The following is a 16,388-nucleotide window of genomic DNA, read 5'->3' on the forward strand; positions in this document are numbered from 1 at the left end:
GAGACGCCCTAATGGATCTCCTGTATTCCATCCATACTCTTCCTTACCACCGTTGTGGAGTAGTAGACTGATTTCATCTTGATAATCTGCATCAGTAACTCCAGCGAACACTGTAACTCCATTCTTAGCCTGTTGACTTAAAGGTAGGAGGAGCACAAAGTGTCCAGGTGGCAATCTTAACTTCCAATTTAATGGATTCATTGTTGTGTCTCCTGGTGGCAGCATTCCTCCCTCTGGAACTAAGACCTCTAGGCTAGCAAAATGTAATGTCGTGAGAACAGGAAGCAACAATGTTGCTAGTGGTCACTAAGGTTGATGATGAGTGACGCCACTTCCACTTCCACCCCTTGATTCCTGGCCCTGTGAATCCTGGCTATGGGAGAAACAATGCCATATATTGGAGGCTGATTCAGAGCATTCATGGCCTTCTGGAATACTTTGCCAGAGCCCGGCAAAGTATTGTCACCTAGTCGGCGTTGTAATTGTGACTTCAAAAGGCCATTCCACTATTCTATCAATCCAGCTGCTTCAGGATGATGGGGAACATGGTAAGACTAGTGAATTCCATGAACATGAGCCCACTGCCACACTTCTTTAGCCATAAAGTGAGTGCCTTGGTCAGAGGCAATGCTGTGTGGAATACCATGACAGTGGATAAGGCATTCTGTGAGTCCACTGATGATAGTCTTGGCAGAAGCATTGCATACAGGATAGGCAAACACATATCCAGAGTAAGTGTCTATTCCAGTGAGGACAAACCTCTGCCCTTTCAGAAGAGGTCCAATACAATCAACCTGCTACCAGGTAGTTGGCTGATCACCCTGAGGAATGTGGCTATACTGAGGGCTCAGTGTCAGTCTCTGCTGCTGGCAAATTGGGCACTCGACAGTGGCTGCAGCCAGGTCTGCCTTGGTGAGTGGAAATCCATGTTGTTGAGCCCATGCATAACCTCCATCACTGCCACCATGGCCACTTTGTTCATGGGCCCATTGGGCAATAACTGAGGTGGCTGGGGAAAGAGGCTGAGTGGTATCCACAGAATGGGTCATACTATCCAATTGATTACTAAAATGCTCCTCTGTCGAGGTCACCCATTGGTGAGCACTCACATGGGATACAAATATCTTCACAATTTTTGACCACTCAGAGAGGTCCATCCACATACCTCTTCCATAAATTTCTTTATCACCAATTTTCTTATGCTTCTTCCAAGTCCCTGACCATCCAGCCAAACCATTGGTTACAGTCCATGAATGAGTATATAATCGTACATCTGGCCATTTCTCCTTCCATGCAAAGTGCATAACCAGGTGCACTGCTCAAAGTTCTGCCCACTGAGGAGAGTTCCCTTCACTGCTGTCCTTCAAGGATGTCCTAGAAAGAGGCTGTAGTGCTGCAGCTGTCCACTTTTGGGTGGTGCCTGCTTATGATGCACAACCATCTATGAACCAGGCCCTAGTCTTCTCTTTCTCTGTCAACTAATCATAAGGAACTCCCCATGAGGCCATCAGTGCAGGCTGGAGGAGACGAGGCAGTGTGGCATCAGTGGAGACCATGGGCATTTGAGCACTTCCTCATGTAACTTACTTGTGCTTTCAGGACCTGCTTGAGCCTGATCACTTATATGCCACTTTCATTTAATGAGAGAATGCTGCTGTGCATGACCCACTTTATGGCTACATGGGTCAGAAAGCACCCAGTTAATGATAGGCAGTTGAGGTCATGTGGTGACTTGATGACCCATAGTCAAACGTTCAGTTTCTACCAAAGCCCAGTAACAGGCCAAGAGCTGTCCCTCAAAAGGAGAGTAGTTATCCACAGATGGCAGGGCCTTGCTTCAAAATCCTAGAGGTCTCTGCTGTGATTCACCTATGGGGGACTGCCAAAGGCTCCAGTCATCATCCCTATCTGCCACTGATACCACAACCAATTGGATCTGTTGAGTCATATGGCCCCAGTGGCAGAGCAGCTTGTACAGTAGCCTGGACCTGTTACAGAACCTTCTCCTGTACTGGACTCCACTCCAAAATAGCAGCCTTTTGGGTCACTCAACAAATGGGCCAGAGCAATACACCCAAATGAGGAATGTGTTGTCTCCAAAATCCCAATAGGTGCAGTAGGCATTCTGCCACTTTCTTGGTTGTAGAAGGGGTCAAATGCAGCAACTTATCCTTAACCTTAGAAGGAATATCTCAAAAGGCCCCACACCACTGGACCCCTAGAAATTTTACTGAGGGAGAAAGTCCCTGAATTTTAGTCAGATTTATTTCCCATTTTCTGGCATGCAAGTGTCTCACCAATAAGTCCAGTGTGTTTCCTACTTCTTGCTCACTGGATCTAATCAAAATAATGTCATCAGTGTAATAGACCAGTGTGATATCTTGCGGAAGTGGAAAGTGATCAGGGTCTCTCCAAATAAGATTATGACAAAAAGCCAGAAGTTGATATACCCCTGAGGTAGGACTGTAAAGGTATAATGCTGGCCTTGCCAGCTGAAGGCAAATTGCTTCTGATGGGCCTTATGGACAGGGCCTTATGCAGCTCCTGAGTCAATGGCTGCATAGCAAGTACCAGGAGATGTGTTAATTTGCTCAAATCAATGAAACCACATTTGGTACAGCAGCTGAAATTGGAGTCACCACTTGATTAAGCTTATAATAATCCACTGTCATTCTCCAAGATCCATCTGTCTTCCTCACAGGCCAAATGGGAGAGGTGAGTGGGGATGTGGTGGGAATCACCACCCCTGCATCTTTCATATCCTTGATAGTGGCACTAATCTCTGCAATCCCTCCAGGGATGCAATACTGTTTCTGATTTACTATTTTTCTAGGTAGAGGCAGCTCTTAATGCCTTCCATTTGGCCTTTCCCACCATAGTAGCCCTCACCCTACCATTCAGGGAGCCAATGTGGGGGTCCTGCCAGCTGCTAAGTATGTCTATGCCAGTTATGCATCCTGGCACTGGGAAAATGACCACAAGATGAGTCCAGGGACCCACTGGACCCACTGTAAGTCAGACCTGAGCTAAAACCCCTTTAATTATCTGACCTCCATAAGCCTCTACTTTAACTGGAGGACCACGATGACATATTGGATCCCCTGAATCAATGTCAGCTCAGAGCCAGTGTTCAGTAGTCCCCAAAATGTCTGATAATTTCCCTTTCCCCAATGCACAGTTAACCAGAGGTCTCCATGGGGAAGGATGGAAAAAAGATTAACAGCATAAATTGTTGGTAGTGTAGTGGGGTCCTCCCTCAAGGGGACCCAGCCTCCCCATCATTCAAGGGGTTCTGGATCTGTAAACCTGCTCAAGTCTGGAAATTGATTGAGGGGCCGTGATTCTGTTTTTATAATTCAAATTAGTCTTTTGTCCATTCAACCTAGAAGGTTTCTGCTTATATAAATTAAGTAGGAATGCAGTAGGCTTCCTGTCAATTTCACTTCTAGGAAAACCATGATTAATTAGCCAATCCCATAGCTCTACATAAGTCAGACTATTCTGACTGCTGCTTTGTCTCTGCTGTCCATCACAGTAGCTACGACCACTTTGCCTTTGACAGTTGAGTGCCACCACTTGGCCCCTGCCACCTTGGGATCCAATTACTCCCATTATATTTAAATTTTGTAGTTGAGTGACGGTGGTTCCCATTGTTAGATGTGACATACAGAGAAGAGCAATTACAGAGCTCTTCAAAGATGCAGGTGCTACCCTCACAAATCTGTTTCACAACGCATTGTTCAGGGGATGTCTTCTGGATCCTCCCAGCTGGGATGAGTAGGTCTAAAGACTAATCCATTCCACCTTCCCAATCTCTCTAAGCATTTGGATCCCTTCCTCTACATCAAACCAAGGGATACCACACATTTCCAGCTCACTTACAGTGGGCCATCTTTTAATCCATATTTCAGCTAACCATGCAAATAAGCTATTAGAACCTTTTTTAACTCCCTGAGCTGCAACATTAAATGCAGAGTCCCCACTTAGTGGGCCCAAATAAATAAATTCAGCTTGATCCAACTCTATGTTCCTTTCAACATTATCCCACATCCTTAATATCCATTCCCATGCCTGTTCTCCAGATTTCTGTTTATATAAGTTAAAAATTCAAGCAGTTTTTTCAAGTGTAACACACCTTCTCATGGGTCAAACCCTCAACCTCACCTCTAGTGACCCACTGGGACTTTAATCTAGTTATAGGTCTAGAAGCAAATGGGGGCATTAGGGGTGGCTCCTGAAGAGAATCAATATTATCTTTCCTGGCAACTGTCTCACCGGAGGCCATCACTGTTGCCTCAGGTAGTGCAGGGTTTATCTCCTCAGACAAAGGTGGAATGGCTGATGGCAGCATGGGTCAAGAAGGAGATATTGCCACTACTGGGGATGGTGAAGCTGTTTGTTCTGGCAAAAAAGCTTCACCAGAGTTTACAAGCTCAGTGTCCCCAGCTTCATCAGGGTCCTCCCACACATCCCCATTCAAAGTTGTAGGGTCCCATTCTTTTCCAGTCAATGCCCTCACATTAATAGTAGACACCTGGTGAGGCTGTGCCTGCACCTTTCGTTGCACGTCAGCCACTTGCATGATAAGAGCTTGTGTCTATTTTTCCACAATTTCAGGTCTTTCTCTACAGGAGGTAAGACTCTGACTCAGGGCAATCTTAGCAGATTTGAGGCTCAGTATCTGCTTCTGAGGCTGGGAGTTAGAATCCGTAGATTCATCATTTTCTTTCATTACTTTGTTCACTGAAGTTTGGAGCAACCAACCAGCTTCATTATGTTCCTTGGTTCTCCGCATATGGTCAAAAGTATTAGGTATAGACTGACTAGACTCCTTGCTTCTCACGAGCAGTGAATCAGGAGTGTCAAATGCATTTATTTTGCACAGCTCTCTAAACAGTTCATGCCAAGGACTATCAGTGTTCTCCATATTATTAGAAGTAGAATCTTAGCATTTTGGGATCTAATCATATTAAGCAGCCAACTCTAGAACCCCAAAACCAGCAAAAGAACTCGATCCTTAATATTCTGTTCTTCTAGAACCACTTGTGTTACCAAAATCTGTATTAGTCAGGGTTCTCTAGAGGGTCAGAACTAATAGGATATATATATATATCCTATTATATATATATACTATATATAATATGATATATGCTATATATATACACACACTATATATATAGTAGTATATAGTATATATATAGTATATACAGTATATAGTATATAGACTATATACTATATATAAGTCTATATACTATAATATACTATATATACTATTATATTTAGTATATATAGTATATATATACTATAAGTAGTGTATAGTATATATACTATATATATTATATATATAAATAAAACATATATAAATAAAACATATATAAAATATATATAGTATATATATTTAGTATATATAGTATATTATAGTATATATATTTAGTATATATAATATATTATCGTATATATATAGTATATTAGCATAGTATATTTGTGTGTGTGTGTATATATATGTGTGTGTGTGTGTGTGTATATATACATATATACACAGGGGGATTTATTAAGTATTAACTTACATAATCACAAGGTCCCACAATAGGCTGTCTGCAAACTGAGGAGCAAGGAGAGCCAGTCTGAGTCCCAAAACTGAAGAACTTGGGGTCTGAAGTTTGAAGGCAGAAAGCATCCAGCATGAGAGAAAGATATAGGCTGTGAGGCTAGGCTGGTCTTATCCTTTCACATTTTTCTGCCTGCTTTATATTCTAGCTGTGCTGGCAGCTGATTAGATGGTACCCACCCAGATTAACGGTGGGTCTGCCTTTCCAGCCCACTGACTCAAATGTTAATCTCCTTTGGCAACACCCTAACAGACACACCCAGGATCAGTATTTTGAATACTCTGTATCCTTCAATCCAATTAAGTTGACACTCAGTATTAACCATCACACCATGAAAGAGTTTATGAACTCCATGTAAATGATCCATAACATATAATTATCCAAATGATCTTTCTGGGCTGAAAGCTATCCTTAAGATACAAAGATCTTTCTCTATTCCGATACAAGAAATACTTCCATAATATGTCTGGATTCCTCTCAACACAACCCAGAGAAGCTCATACCTCTGACAGATATCCCAAGGCCTAATACCATAGGCTGAAAATAGATTTTCCCAGACAGAACATAATCTGTCTCCTAAAATTTAATGACCTAGGAAGTTCAAAAGAATATCAAGAGTTCTGTCAGAAGAAATGAAGGAAAAGAATTAAAGCAAGGTTGTAGTCCATGGAGAGTCAAAGACCTTTTTAGAATGGCAAATGACAGGTAGCTTTTAAACATTCACTTTGGGGTATTAAGTAATGTGCCATGACCTTTACAATTGAAGTGCAAAACCAATTTCTAAAACCAAAAGTTTAAATCACATTTTCAAATAACATAAAATACTGTCCCACAAATATTAAAACTACAGTATAAAAGTGAGTTTGTAAACGGAGAAGTTTAAGTCACATTCTAAAATATATTTCATAGCTACAATTGAAAATTTTCCACAAAGATAATATGAACATTAGAAATAAACTTAGAAACTGTCATTCAATATTAAAAAGCATATATAATTTAAATCATGCTTTATCATTCCTTATAAGAAATTTATCAAGAAAAAATATGGAAAAAATATCTTAAAATATTAAAAAATAAAACACTGGGTGTTGCTTGATTTGTATTAATATATAACACTATAATTCTACTCAGAAATCTTTGGTGTCTATAGCTCAGAGGAGAAAATTAAAACTGCATATTTTGATACTCTTTGTGATCTAATACTATCTACATATCTAATATCATTCTATTCATTTTATATTTTAGTAATACTAACAATAAGCTTGACAAGGATATTCTATTCTCCAGTGCCTCTTTGACTTTGCATATACTGTTTCCTTTGCCTAGAAAAAGCCCCATTGGCTTGTCTAAGTAAAAAACTCCCATTACTCTTTTATATTTCATATAAAATACTTTCTGAAGTCTTACTCCCTTTGTCTAACTTAGAAATTCTTTTTTTTTTCTGAGATGGAGTCTCACTCTGTTACCCAGGCTGGAGTGCAGTGGCGCGATCTCGGCTCACTGCAACCTCCATCTCCCAAGTTCAAGCGATCCTCGTGTCTCTGCCTCCTAAGCAGCTGGGACAACAGGTGCACACCACCACACCTGGCTAATTTTTGTATCTTTAGTCGAGACGGGGTTTCATCATGTTGACCAGGCTGGTCTTGAACTCTGGACCTCCGATGAGTTGCCCACCTCAGCCTCCCAAAGTTCTAGGATTACAGGTGTGAGCCACTGTGCCAAGCCCAGAAATTCTTAAAGTGCTGGGATTACAGGTATGAGCCACTGCACCCAGCCCAGAAATTCTTTATCATATTGGTACCTTTCACCTATTAACAAATAATAATTATTTTATTATAATTAAAATGTTTATATATAGTTTCTCCTTACTAGATTGCTATATAGTTGAGAATAGAGATTTTTCATTTTGGACTCAGAGCCTATACCATACTAGGATCATATTTATAAACTAGAAATAAATGAATATAGCCATGAAACAAAGGTAACAGTAACAATAACATATATAACATATCTAATATATAATAACTATAACATACAGTCCCACTGTATATCAAGTACTGTAATACATGCTTTTTTCAGTATAGATTTGTACTACATTTATAGCAGTTTTTATCCTTGTATCTGAGCTATCAAGTGATCAAAGTGCAATTTATACTATTTTCTCTTGATCCAATGAATCTACCTTTTCCTTATAACTGTAGCTTTGAATTTTTCTTTTTATTCGTAAGTAGTGGAACTCTTTTTCTAACATATATAATATATAAAGCATAGGAAGGGTAGCCCTTCTGAAAAAAGCAGATAACGGAGGACTAGACACATATACTCAGCACCCCTCTGCGAGTAGCTTGTAGGGACCAATATAGAGACTAATGCCCTAAAAAATTTGTTTCCATCTCTACTTACTGTCAATCCATATGTTGAAATAGTAACCCCTAGTGTGATAGTATTAGAAAGTTGGCATTTGTAGGTCCTGAGGTAGAGCCCTCGTGAATGGAATTAGGCCCTTATAAAAGAGAGCTCCTTTGCCCTTCTGCCATGTGAGGACACAGCAAGAAGACAGCTGTCTGTGAATCAGGAAGAAGACCCTCACAAAACACTAAATTTTATCTAGGATTTTCCAGTGTTCAGAGCTATGAGAAATAAATTTTTGTTGTTTATAAACCACCCAGTCTCTGTTAGTTTGTTAAAGCAGCCAAAACCAACTCAGACATAGAGAGAATGGTAGTCTGAAAACCCAACTTGGGGCAGGATGAACATTTCCAAGAAGAATAATCCACTATATTAAATGCTGCTGCTAGGTTAAGTAAAATAAGGAGATTCGACACAGGATCTACCACAGGATTGGGCAAAAGATTTATGAAAGTCATTGATGAGCCATTTCTGTGGAGTAGTTGGGGAGAAAGCCTTACAAGTGTCAAATTAAAAGAGAATAAGAAAAGAGAAAATGGAAACGATGAATGTATGCTAGTACTTTGAGTAGCTTTTTAAAGAAGAAAATATAGAAACAGGGGTTTAATTGAAGGAAAAATGAGGCTGAGAGATATTTTTAGATGAGACGATAGGCAAAATGGTTGTATGTTTACCTGAATGATTTGGCAGAGAGGGAAAAATGAAGTAAAGGGAGAAATTGCTGGTACAACATCATTGAGCAGATGAAGCAAATGAGATCTAGCAGGTAATTAAAGGTATTAGGCTTAAGTAGGAGGCAAGACAGTTCAGCATCAGGAGGAGAAGTGGAGTAAATATGTAGAAATGTTGTTGGGGAAAGTGATGTGCTGATAGGACCATGTGGAAATGATAAGTAAAATGTCTGAAGGCATTAACTAAAAGAGAATGAGAGAGCTGGGTGCGGTGGCTTAACGCCTATAATCTCAGCACTTTGGGAGGCAAAGGCAGTTGGATTGCTTCCAGAAGTCCAAGACCAGCCTGGGCAACAGGGCAAAACCCCATCTCTGCAAAAAATACAAAAAATTAGCCAGGTATGGTGGTGCGTGCTTGTAGTTCCAGCTACCTGGGAGGCTGAGGTGGGAGAATTACTTGCGCCTAGGAGGTCAAGGCTACAGTGAACTGTGATTGTACCACTGCAGTCCAACCTGGGCAACAGAGTGAGACCCTGTCTCAAAAAAATGAAAATAATTTCAATAAATAAAAGAGGATGGAGGGAGGGGGGAAGTACTAGAGATTTTAGAACAGAGAAGGTATGAAAGAGTTACCTATGAGAGTATGAGAATAACTGCACTAGAAAGAAATATTGACTGGTGGGCATCAATAAGGGCCTTCTGAATAGTAATTGGATGAATAATAAAGATGATAGTCCAAATTATAAGTGAAAGGAAGGAAAGAAAGATTGATGTGTCAAACCTAATACCAAAGTAAAAATATAAGGTAGCATAGAATCGAAGACAAAAATAAAAACCATATCCAAATCAAAAGAAAATATAAAGGCATTAAATAAATTAACTTAGGTATGAAGAAACACTAAGCCTAACAAAATGATTTTTAAAAGTAAAGACAATTTTTAATAGATTTTACCAAACAAGCATGCAAAACATGGTAAAATTTCTTAGATAAGTTGGTAACCATTACTATACAGCAAATGAGTGGTTATGTTGAAATTCAAATACAAGTACTTTGGTCTGACTTTCTACTCTCTTAAATGTATACTCTAAGCTAATGACATAAAGGGTATTCCAAGATTGATGTCTTTGATACACGGCAAAAACAAACATGAAAGTGCAACTCATCTAAAGCTAATAATGTGAAAGGGACAAAAACACAACTAAAGCAATGTGGGAATGTTTTTTTAAAATATTACCACTTTTCATAATCAAATGGTTTTTTTGAAAAATAAAATCTAAAAAAATTCACTTGGCAAAGGAAACAACGTAAATAGACCAATAATTATTTAAGAAATATGAAAAGATATTAAAGTATTACCACACTAAAAATAATTTCTAAAAAAATTACAGATATGTATTAAATGCCTTATAATATCCAAACCAATGAAGTAAAGGGAAATATGGCTGGCACCACTCTTTGAGCAGATGAAGTAAATGAGTTCTAGCATGTAATTAGAGGTATTAGGCTTAAATAGGAAGCAAGCCTTGTTTGCCAGTGATTCTAAGAATTTTTCCTTAAGAAATAATCAAAGGTAGGAACAAAGATCAGGTATAAAACTATCTTTATAAGGCTATTTATAATAATAGAAAAATTGAAAACTTTTTAAAGATCTCTTGCTATACTCCCAATAAAATATCTTTCTGCCATTTAACATTATTTTTCTGAGAATATGCAATAGAGAAAATACTTTTTTCTATTTTTTGGTGAAAATATAATTAAATTACATATATGTTAATGCATTTTCTCATTTCTATAGTATAAAATTATTCTATCCCATAATTAAAAAAAAATACCTACTAATTCCTTCTTTAAAATTACCCAGAATGAGGGTTTTAGACAAGTGGGTAATCTGCTAACAAAAGGATTTTCTAAATAAATTCCTTTATAATTTTTTCATTTGAGTAAAATTTTCTTTTCATAAAAATATATCTTTGTTAATTTCTGTACTACTTGAATAGATATTTAAATGAAACTAATTGCACTACAGATTTTTCTCTTGTGCCTTTTCTAAATTTTCATATTCATGGGATGTTTATCAATCTAAAATGTGATGTGAAGTCTGAATTCAAACTTCTAAGTGCACAATTTTCATCAAAAGAATTTCAAAGTAATAGAAAGTAAATGACTCAATTGAATTAATTAGTACTATCACATATGCATCAATTTCTAGTTTATAAAATCACAGCCAAATAAGTGTTTTTTTTAAATACAGTTGACTTTAACAAAAAGGTGTTAATCTATAGTAATAAACAATAAGAATCTCAATTTTTAAATTTAGAACTGAAAATAAGTAATAAACTAAACCTACAGTGTGATTCCAATTCTCAACATGTTCTGGATTTATACATGTTAATATTTTATCTCACTTATATTGTCCTACCCAATTCTGCTATTAAAAATTCACTCTGAAATTAATCTCTAATTGAGATTTTTCAAGCAATTATGTAACCTGCAAAAATTAAAAATTATACTCATAAAATGAATTGTTATTGAACTTCAATTAATTTCAGCAGAATTTTTGCTTTTTTAAGAGATATATTTAAATCTTTTCTAATATTTAAAGGATTTTATGACATTAAATTCATTGAAGTTTCTTCTATTTAGCTTTTTAAAATATTCTCACATAGTCACTGTATAATTTAAATTTCAGAAAATCAATATATTTGAAGCAAATAAAAAATCAGTATATTTGACTCGATCATTGTATTTGAAGCCTTATCTAAACCTTAAAAAAACAGTTTTTTGGTCAAGAGACTGATTCAACAAGAGAATGTGAATGAATCAATAAAATTTACTGTTATTTTAAATGAATATACACATATTCTTTTCACTGAGAACTAAGTCAATGAGGAAAAATTTATGTCTAGATAAAAATTAGTGATTTATGAAAAGAAAATCCTGATTTTCCATTTTGCTAATTTATTCAATAAACATTTATTAATATAGTATTAGGTGCCAGATTCTGTGGGTGGAACCTGAATCATATACAATTAAATAAATCATTGCCTTCATGAAGCTCATAATGTAATATTGAGAGTTCTCAGTTGAAATTATAAGTGAACTTTTATAGATTAATAAACCTTCTAAAATTGTATGCACATTTTTTATGAGTATACACACATTTTCTCCCTAGCTTTTATTAGATCTTCAAAAAGGTCAATGATAGTAATCCAATAAATATCAATAACTAAAAGGAGCAAAGACAAACAGCTTAGCTAGTAATTGAAATAAGATGGGCAAAGTAAGATATATTCCAAAAGCAACTCTGACCTTCCTCCACCCATCAAAAATGGAGAGAGAACTAAATCTACCTGGGGAACTCCAGAGATAATTTACAAAAAAATGAAAATAGCAAGCAGACATTACAAATATAGGTGTACAATTTAAGAAGCCTCCAGATTTTTGCAAATATAATTGTATGGACCACCAGCATTGGACAGTTGGGGATCCTTTGTGGACATAAGACATTAAAAATGTATAACTATCTCAATGGCAGATCATACAGCTAAGTAATTTTCAAGTATAACTGAATTGCAATTCTAAATCAATATCATGCATTTCTAGAATTATCTTTTCCTGTTAAAAAACGTAAAAAGTTTACAGCAAATATGTTCTCAAGAGTCACCAACTTAAACTTATTAAAGTCATGAGAGACTGTCAAATTAAAATAAAAGAACAAGTTAATAATAAAGAGACCTAGTAATTTATCAACCCATCAACTTAAAAGTAACTTCTTTAAAGAAGGAAAATTATGAAAAAAGTATTTATTGAAAAAGGTTTTTAATTATTCAAGGAAATAAATTGGTGTTGAGAAGACAAAAACAAAATTACAGACTCAGTTCTCAACAGAAAAGCTACCTTGAAGTTCAGTAAATATAGGATGTAATAGTTTGAAATTTCAAGAATACCTTAACAAACAACAATATAAAACCCATAAATGTTTTCTCTGACATGGGAAATAATTTTGCATAATAAACATCTATCATAAAGTATAAATATATAATATTAAATTTATAAAATCTTAAGAAAGAAAAAGCAAGAATATCTTAAATACTAGAAAGACTAGTGGGAACATCCTTTACGAAGAATGCATCACAAAATGAAACAGGATACCATTAGATTGGCTGACATTTATTATTTGTGGATACCATTAAAATGAGTTTTTTAAAGGAGAGAAATTGCTCAACTAAAGATGTAATATGATTTAATATCATCAAACTATGAACAACTAAAGTACCCAACTTATCAAGACCAATACCTTATTAATCAATACTTAAAGACCTTCCCTCACTATGCTCATCAATCTAAAGTAAACAAACGTCATAAACTTTGCCCAGTCCTAATCAGTTCCCCACTTACAAGACTTGCCTTAAGTCACCTAGCATAGATCCTAAAACCATACAAATACCCACCCTTGACTTCCACCTTCGAAAATAGTACTAATACTCTCAAGAGATTCTCCCTTTCTGAAGTAAGTCTAATAAAATTAGCTTTGCTTAACCAGCAGGCATTAGTCTTTGTCTTTTGGAGGAATCAACAGCCAACAAGATAACAATTCTTTGATTACTCATTTTCATTTGTTTTATTTTCTCCTTTGATGGAATGCTGAAAAGTATTTAGATTGTGACATTTTATTTTTATTTACTTACTTTTTTTTTTTTTTTTTTGAGAAGGAGTCTCGCTCTGTCACCCAGGCTGGAGTGCAGTGGTGCAATTTTGGCCCACTGCAAACTCTGCCTCCCAGATCCAAGCGATTCTCCTGCCCCAGCCTCCCGAGTAGCTGGGACTACAGGTGCATGACACCATGCCTGGATTATTTTTATATTTTTAGTAGAGACAGGGTTTCATCATGTTGGCCAGGCTGGTCTCAAACTCCTGACCTCAAGTATCTGCCCGCCTCAGCTTCCCAAAGTGCTGGGATTACAGGCATGAGACACTGTGCCTGGCCTTAGATTGTGACATTTTAAGTAAGGAGAAAAACATGTATTTAATATAAATAAACTTGTCATTAGCCCCAAAAAGAACATTCATTTTGGTTTGCACTCAGAATTAACTCTTAAATTAATTGTTACAAATCACTATAAAATATTTTACTTTCAATAGTTAGTAGGGTAGGAATGGGGAACCTATTTCATTCTAATTCTCTAAAGGGCAATAAAGGGCTATTGTGAACACAGTTTCTAAAATCTTTCAGGTTATGATCAGAAGGTCCATAGGTTAAAAGACACCTTTATTTATTATGAACTTAAATACAGCATCCATGTTCATTAAAAGAAAATAAAAGAGCAACACACAATTTTATTTGATCCACAGGGCTTTCTTGTGAGCTCTCTGATAAATAATTATTTCAATAAATACTAAGAGATTTCAATGTATGAATACAAACAAGTATGTAAGCAAGTGAACTTTAATATTTGTAGTAATATAAATAAATTATATATATGAATACTGCAAAGCATATTTAGAGATAGAAAAGTTGTTTAAATAATTCTTAAATTCTTAAATAATTCTTTTTAAATGTCAGACCACATCTTCAAAAATCTCCTTAGTCAAAATATTTTCATTAATCAGCAATGTGAATAAAATATATGGAAAGGACTTTAATATATACATTTGTAGTACTTTCTGGAAATTAATTCTATTCTTGTGTCACTGTTAAGAAGGAAATATTGACAAACCTCATATGTTGCTGGGCCTGGAGTAATCTCTTTGGACTCTTCAAAGCGCTTTGATGCTTTCACAAATAAGGGTATGGGGCAAGATTTCCTTAAAACAGGATTGTATGCTGCAGGACCTGAGAGACAACAAATGTAAAAATTATGATAAAGTATATTTTAAAATTATTGATTTTGGTCATATGAATATTAGGTTTGTGCTCTTAATGTATAAAATTAGCATGAAACAATCTTGAACCCATTGTTTTTGAATGCTTAAAATCATTTGGTTTATGTCTTTGAAATATAATAAGCATAAGATAGTGGCATCTGTTTACCTAATAATTAAATATATTACAGCAATAATTTCCAAAAAGGAGAAAATAGTACTCCCTCAATATACTTTTATATCATGAATGAAGATGCTTAACTCTTATATCCTAAATATTCATTCACATGTTCAGTGAGGAGTTAGGGCTTGAGCTGCACTTGGAAATACAAATGGGATTTAAAGAAGCAGAAAGGTGCTTTAATAGCATTCTGGGCAGTAAACATTACGGAAATCAAGACGCAAAGATGGAATGCACATGGAGCAATCAAATGTAGTAAACAGATGGTTTGCATGGAACAAGGCCTAATCCTAAATAAGGATTTTTGTACTTAAGCCAATGGGTTCCAACTTGTATTCTTCAATGCCCCCAAATTCTTACAGAAGTGACCAGAGGATAATTTGTAGGTAAAGCCCAAGTTGAAAAGGTTTGAATTATTTTTATTCACAACATCTCTAAAAACTTTTGAGAACCACTTTCATAGACAATGGGTAGCTCTTAAAAGTTTTAGATTAAATAGTCATGAAAAGTGGTAGTTTAGAAAGTAAATTCTGGCAGATTCTTGATTCTCATGAAGAGTGTACAACCAAGATCCCTTGCATGTGCAGTTCAGGATAGCGTTCGAGCTCCTATGAGAATCTAATGTCAGGCTAATCTGACAGGAGGTGGAGCTCAGGCGGTAATACTCACTTGCCCTCTGCTCCCCTCCTGCTGGGCAGTCTGATTTCTAACAGGCCATTGACAGGTATAGGTCCTTGGCCCAGGGTACGGGACCTGTGGTCTAGTGAATGGAACCTAGCTAGTATGACTTCACAGAGAGAAGATAGGGAGACGTAATTTTTTTTCTTCATTCATATTTTAAACAATACTATTGAGTGTCTATCACATGCCAAACCTTGTGTTTCAAGAGAATGTTAGAGGTCTACTATATCAAATGTTTCAAGAGGAGAGAAGACTTAGGAAGGACACTGTAGAATATGTGGAATATAATTTCAGAAGAATGGTAGTGAATGAAATTAGATTGGGGGCATCAGAGAGGCAATGTATGGGGAGAGAAAATAAAACCTTTGGCCACAGAATATTGACAATAAATATAAACAGTGAAATAGAAGAGTAGATATAATGATATTAATAAAATACAAAATTAATTTATCTGTATTTCCCTAATAAGCATGCAATTCAATCTACCTACTTTGGCAAATACATTCTTGTTGATGCTTTAAAATCTAAAATATTTTTAAATTAATAGGTTAGTATGAAACATTTTTAATGTTTTTAGCTTCATTAATATAGGACATTTCAAAATTTAAGACAAAGAAGGACATCTAGGCTCTAGCCCAATCATTCTAATATCAGCTCAATTAAGACATAGTATCTAAAGTTCCTTGTGGGAAGCTAATGTGTTTTGATACATCAAGTGAAAAGCTGGTATTTAAAATAAGGGAGGACATCCAGGCTCTAGCCCAGTCATTTTTAATATTAGTTCAATTAAGATATAGCTATCTAAAGTTCCTTGTGGGAAGCTAATGTGTTTTGATATACCAAGTGATAAGGAAAGTGTTTTTGCAAATGCCATCTTACTATAAAACAATAGCATGCACAACTTTGGAATAATATAATTTATATTTATAGTGCAGAGGAATAATGCACATATACATACATAACATCTTTACTGA

General features: G+C 36.0%; 1 protein-coding gene across 7 annotated transcripts in view; it reads right to left on the bottom strand.

The window, feature by feature from the left end:
* Positions 1–16,388, bottom strand: part of STPG2 (sperm tail PG-rich repeat containing 2) — a 702,228-nt gene that overhangs the window by 257,043 nt on the left and 428,797 nt on the right. For all 7 annotated transcript variants that reach the window (XM_047450118.1, XM_017008049.3, XM_011531886.4 and 4 more), the window contains one exon: positions 14,408–14,523. In XM_047450118.1, coding sequence (XP_047306074.1) covers positions 14,408–14,523 — 116 coding nt within the window. The remainder of the gene's footprint in view (positions 1–14,407; positions 14,524–16,388) is intronic.

Source organism: Homo sapiens, chromosome 4 (assembly GCF_000001405.40).
Source record: "Homo sapiens chromosome 4, GRCh38.p14 Primary Assembly".
Taxonomy (NCBI): Eukaryota; Metazoa; Chordata; class Mammalia; order Primates; family Hominidae; genus Homo; species Homo sapiens.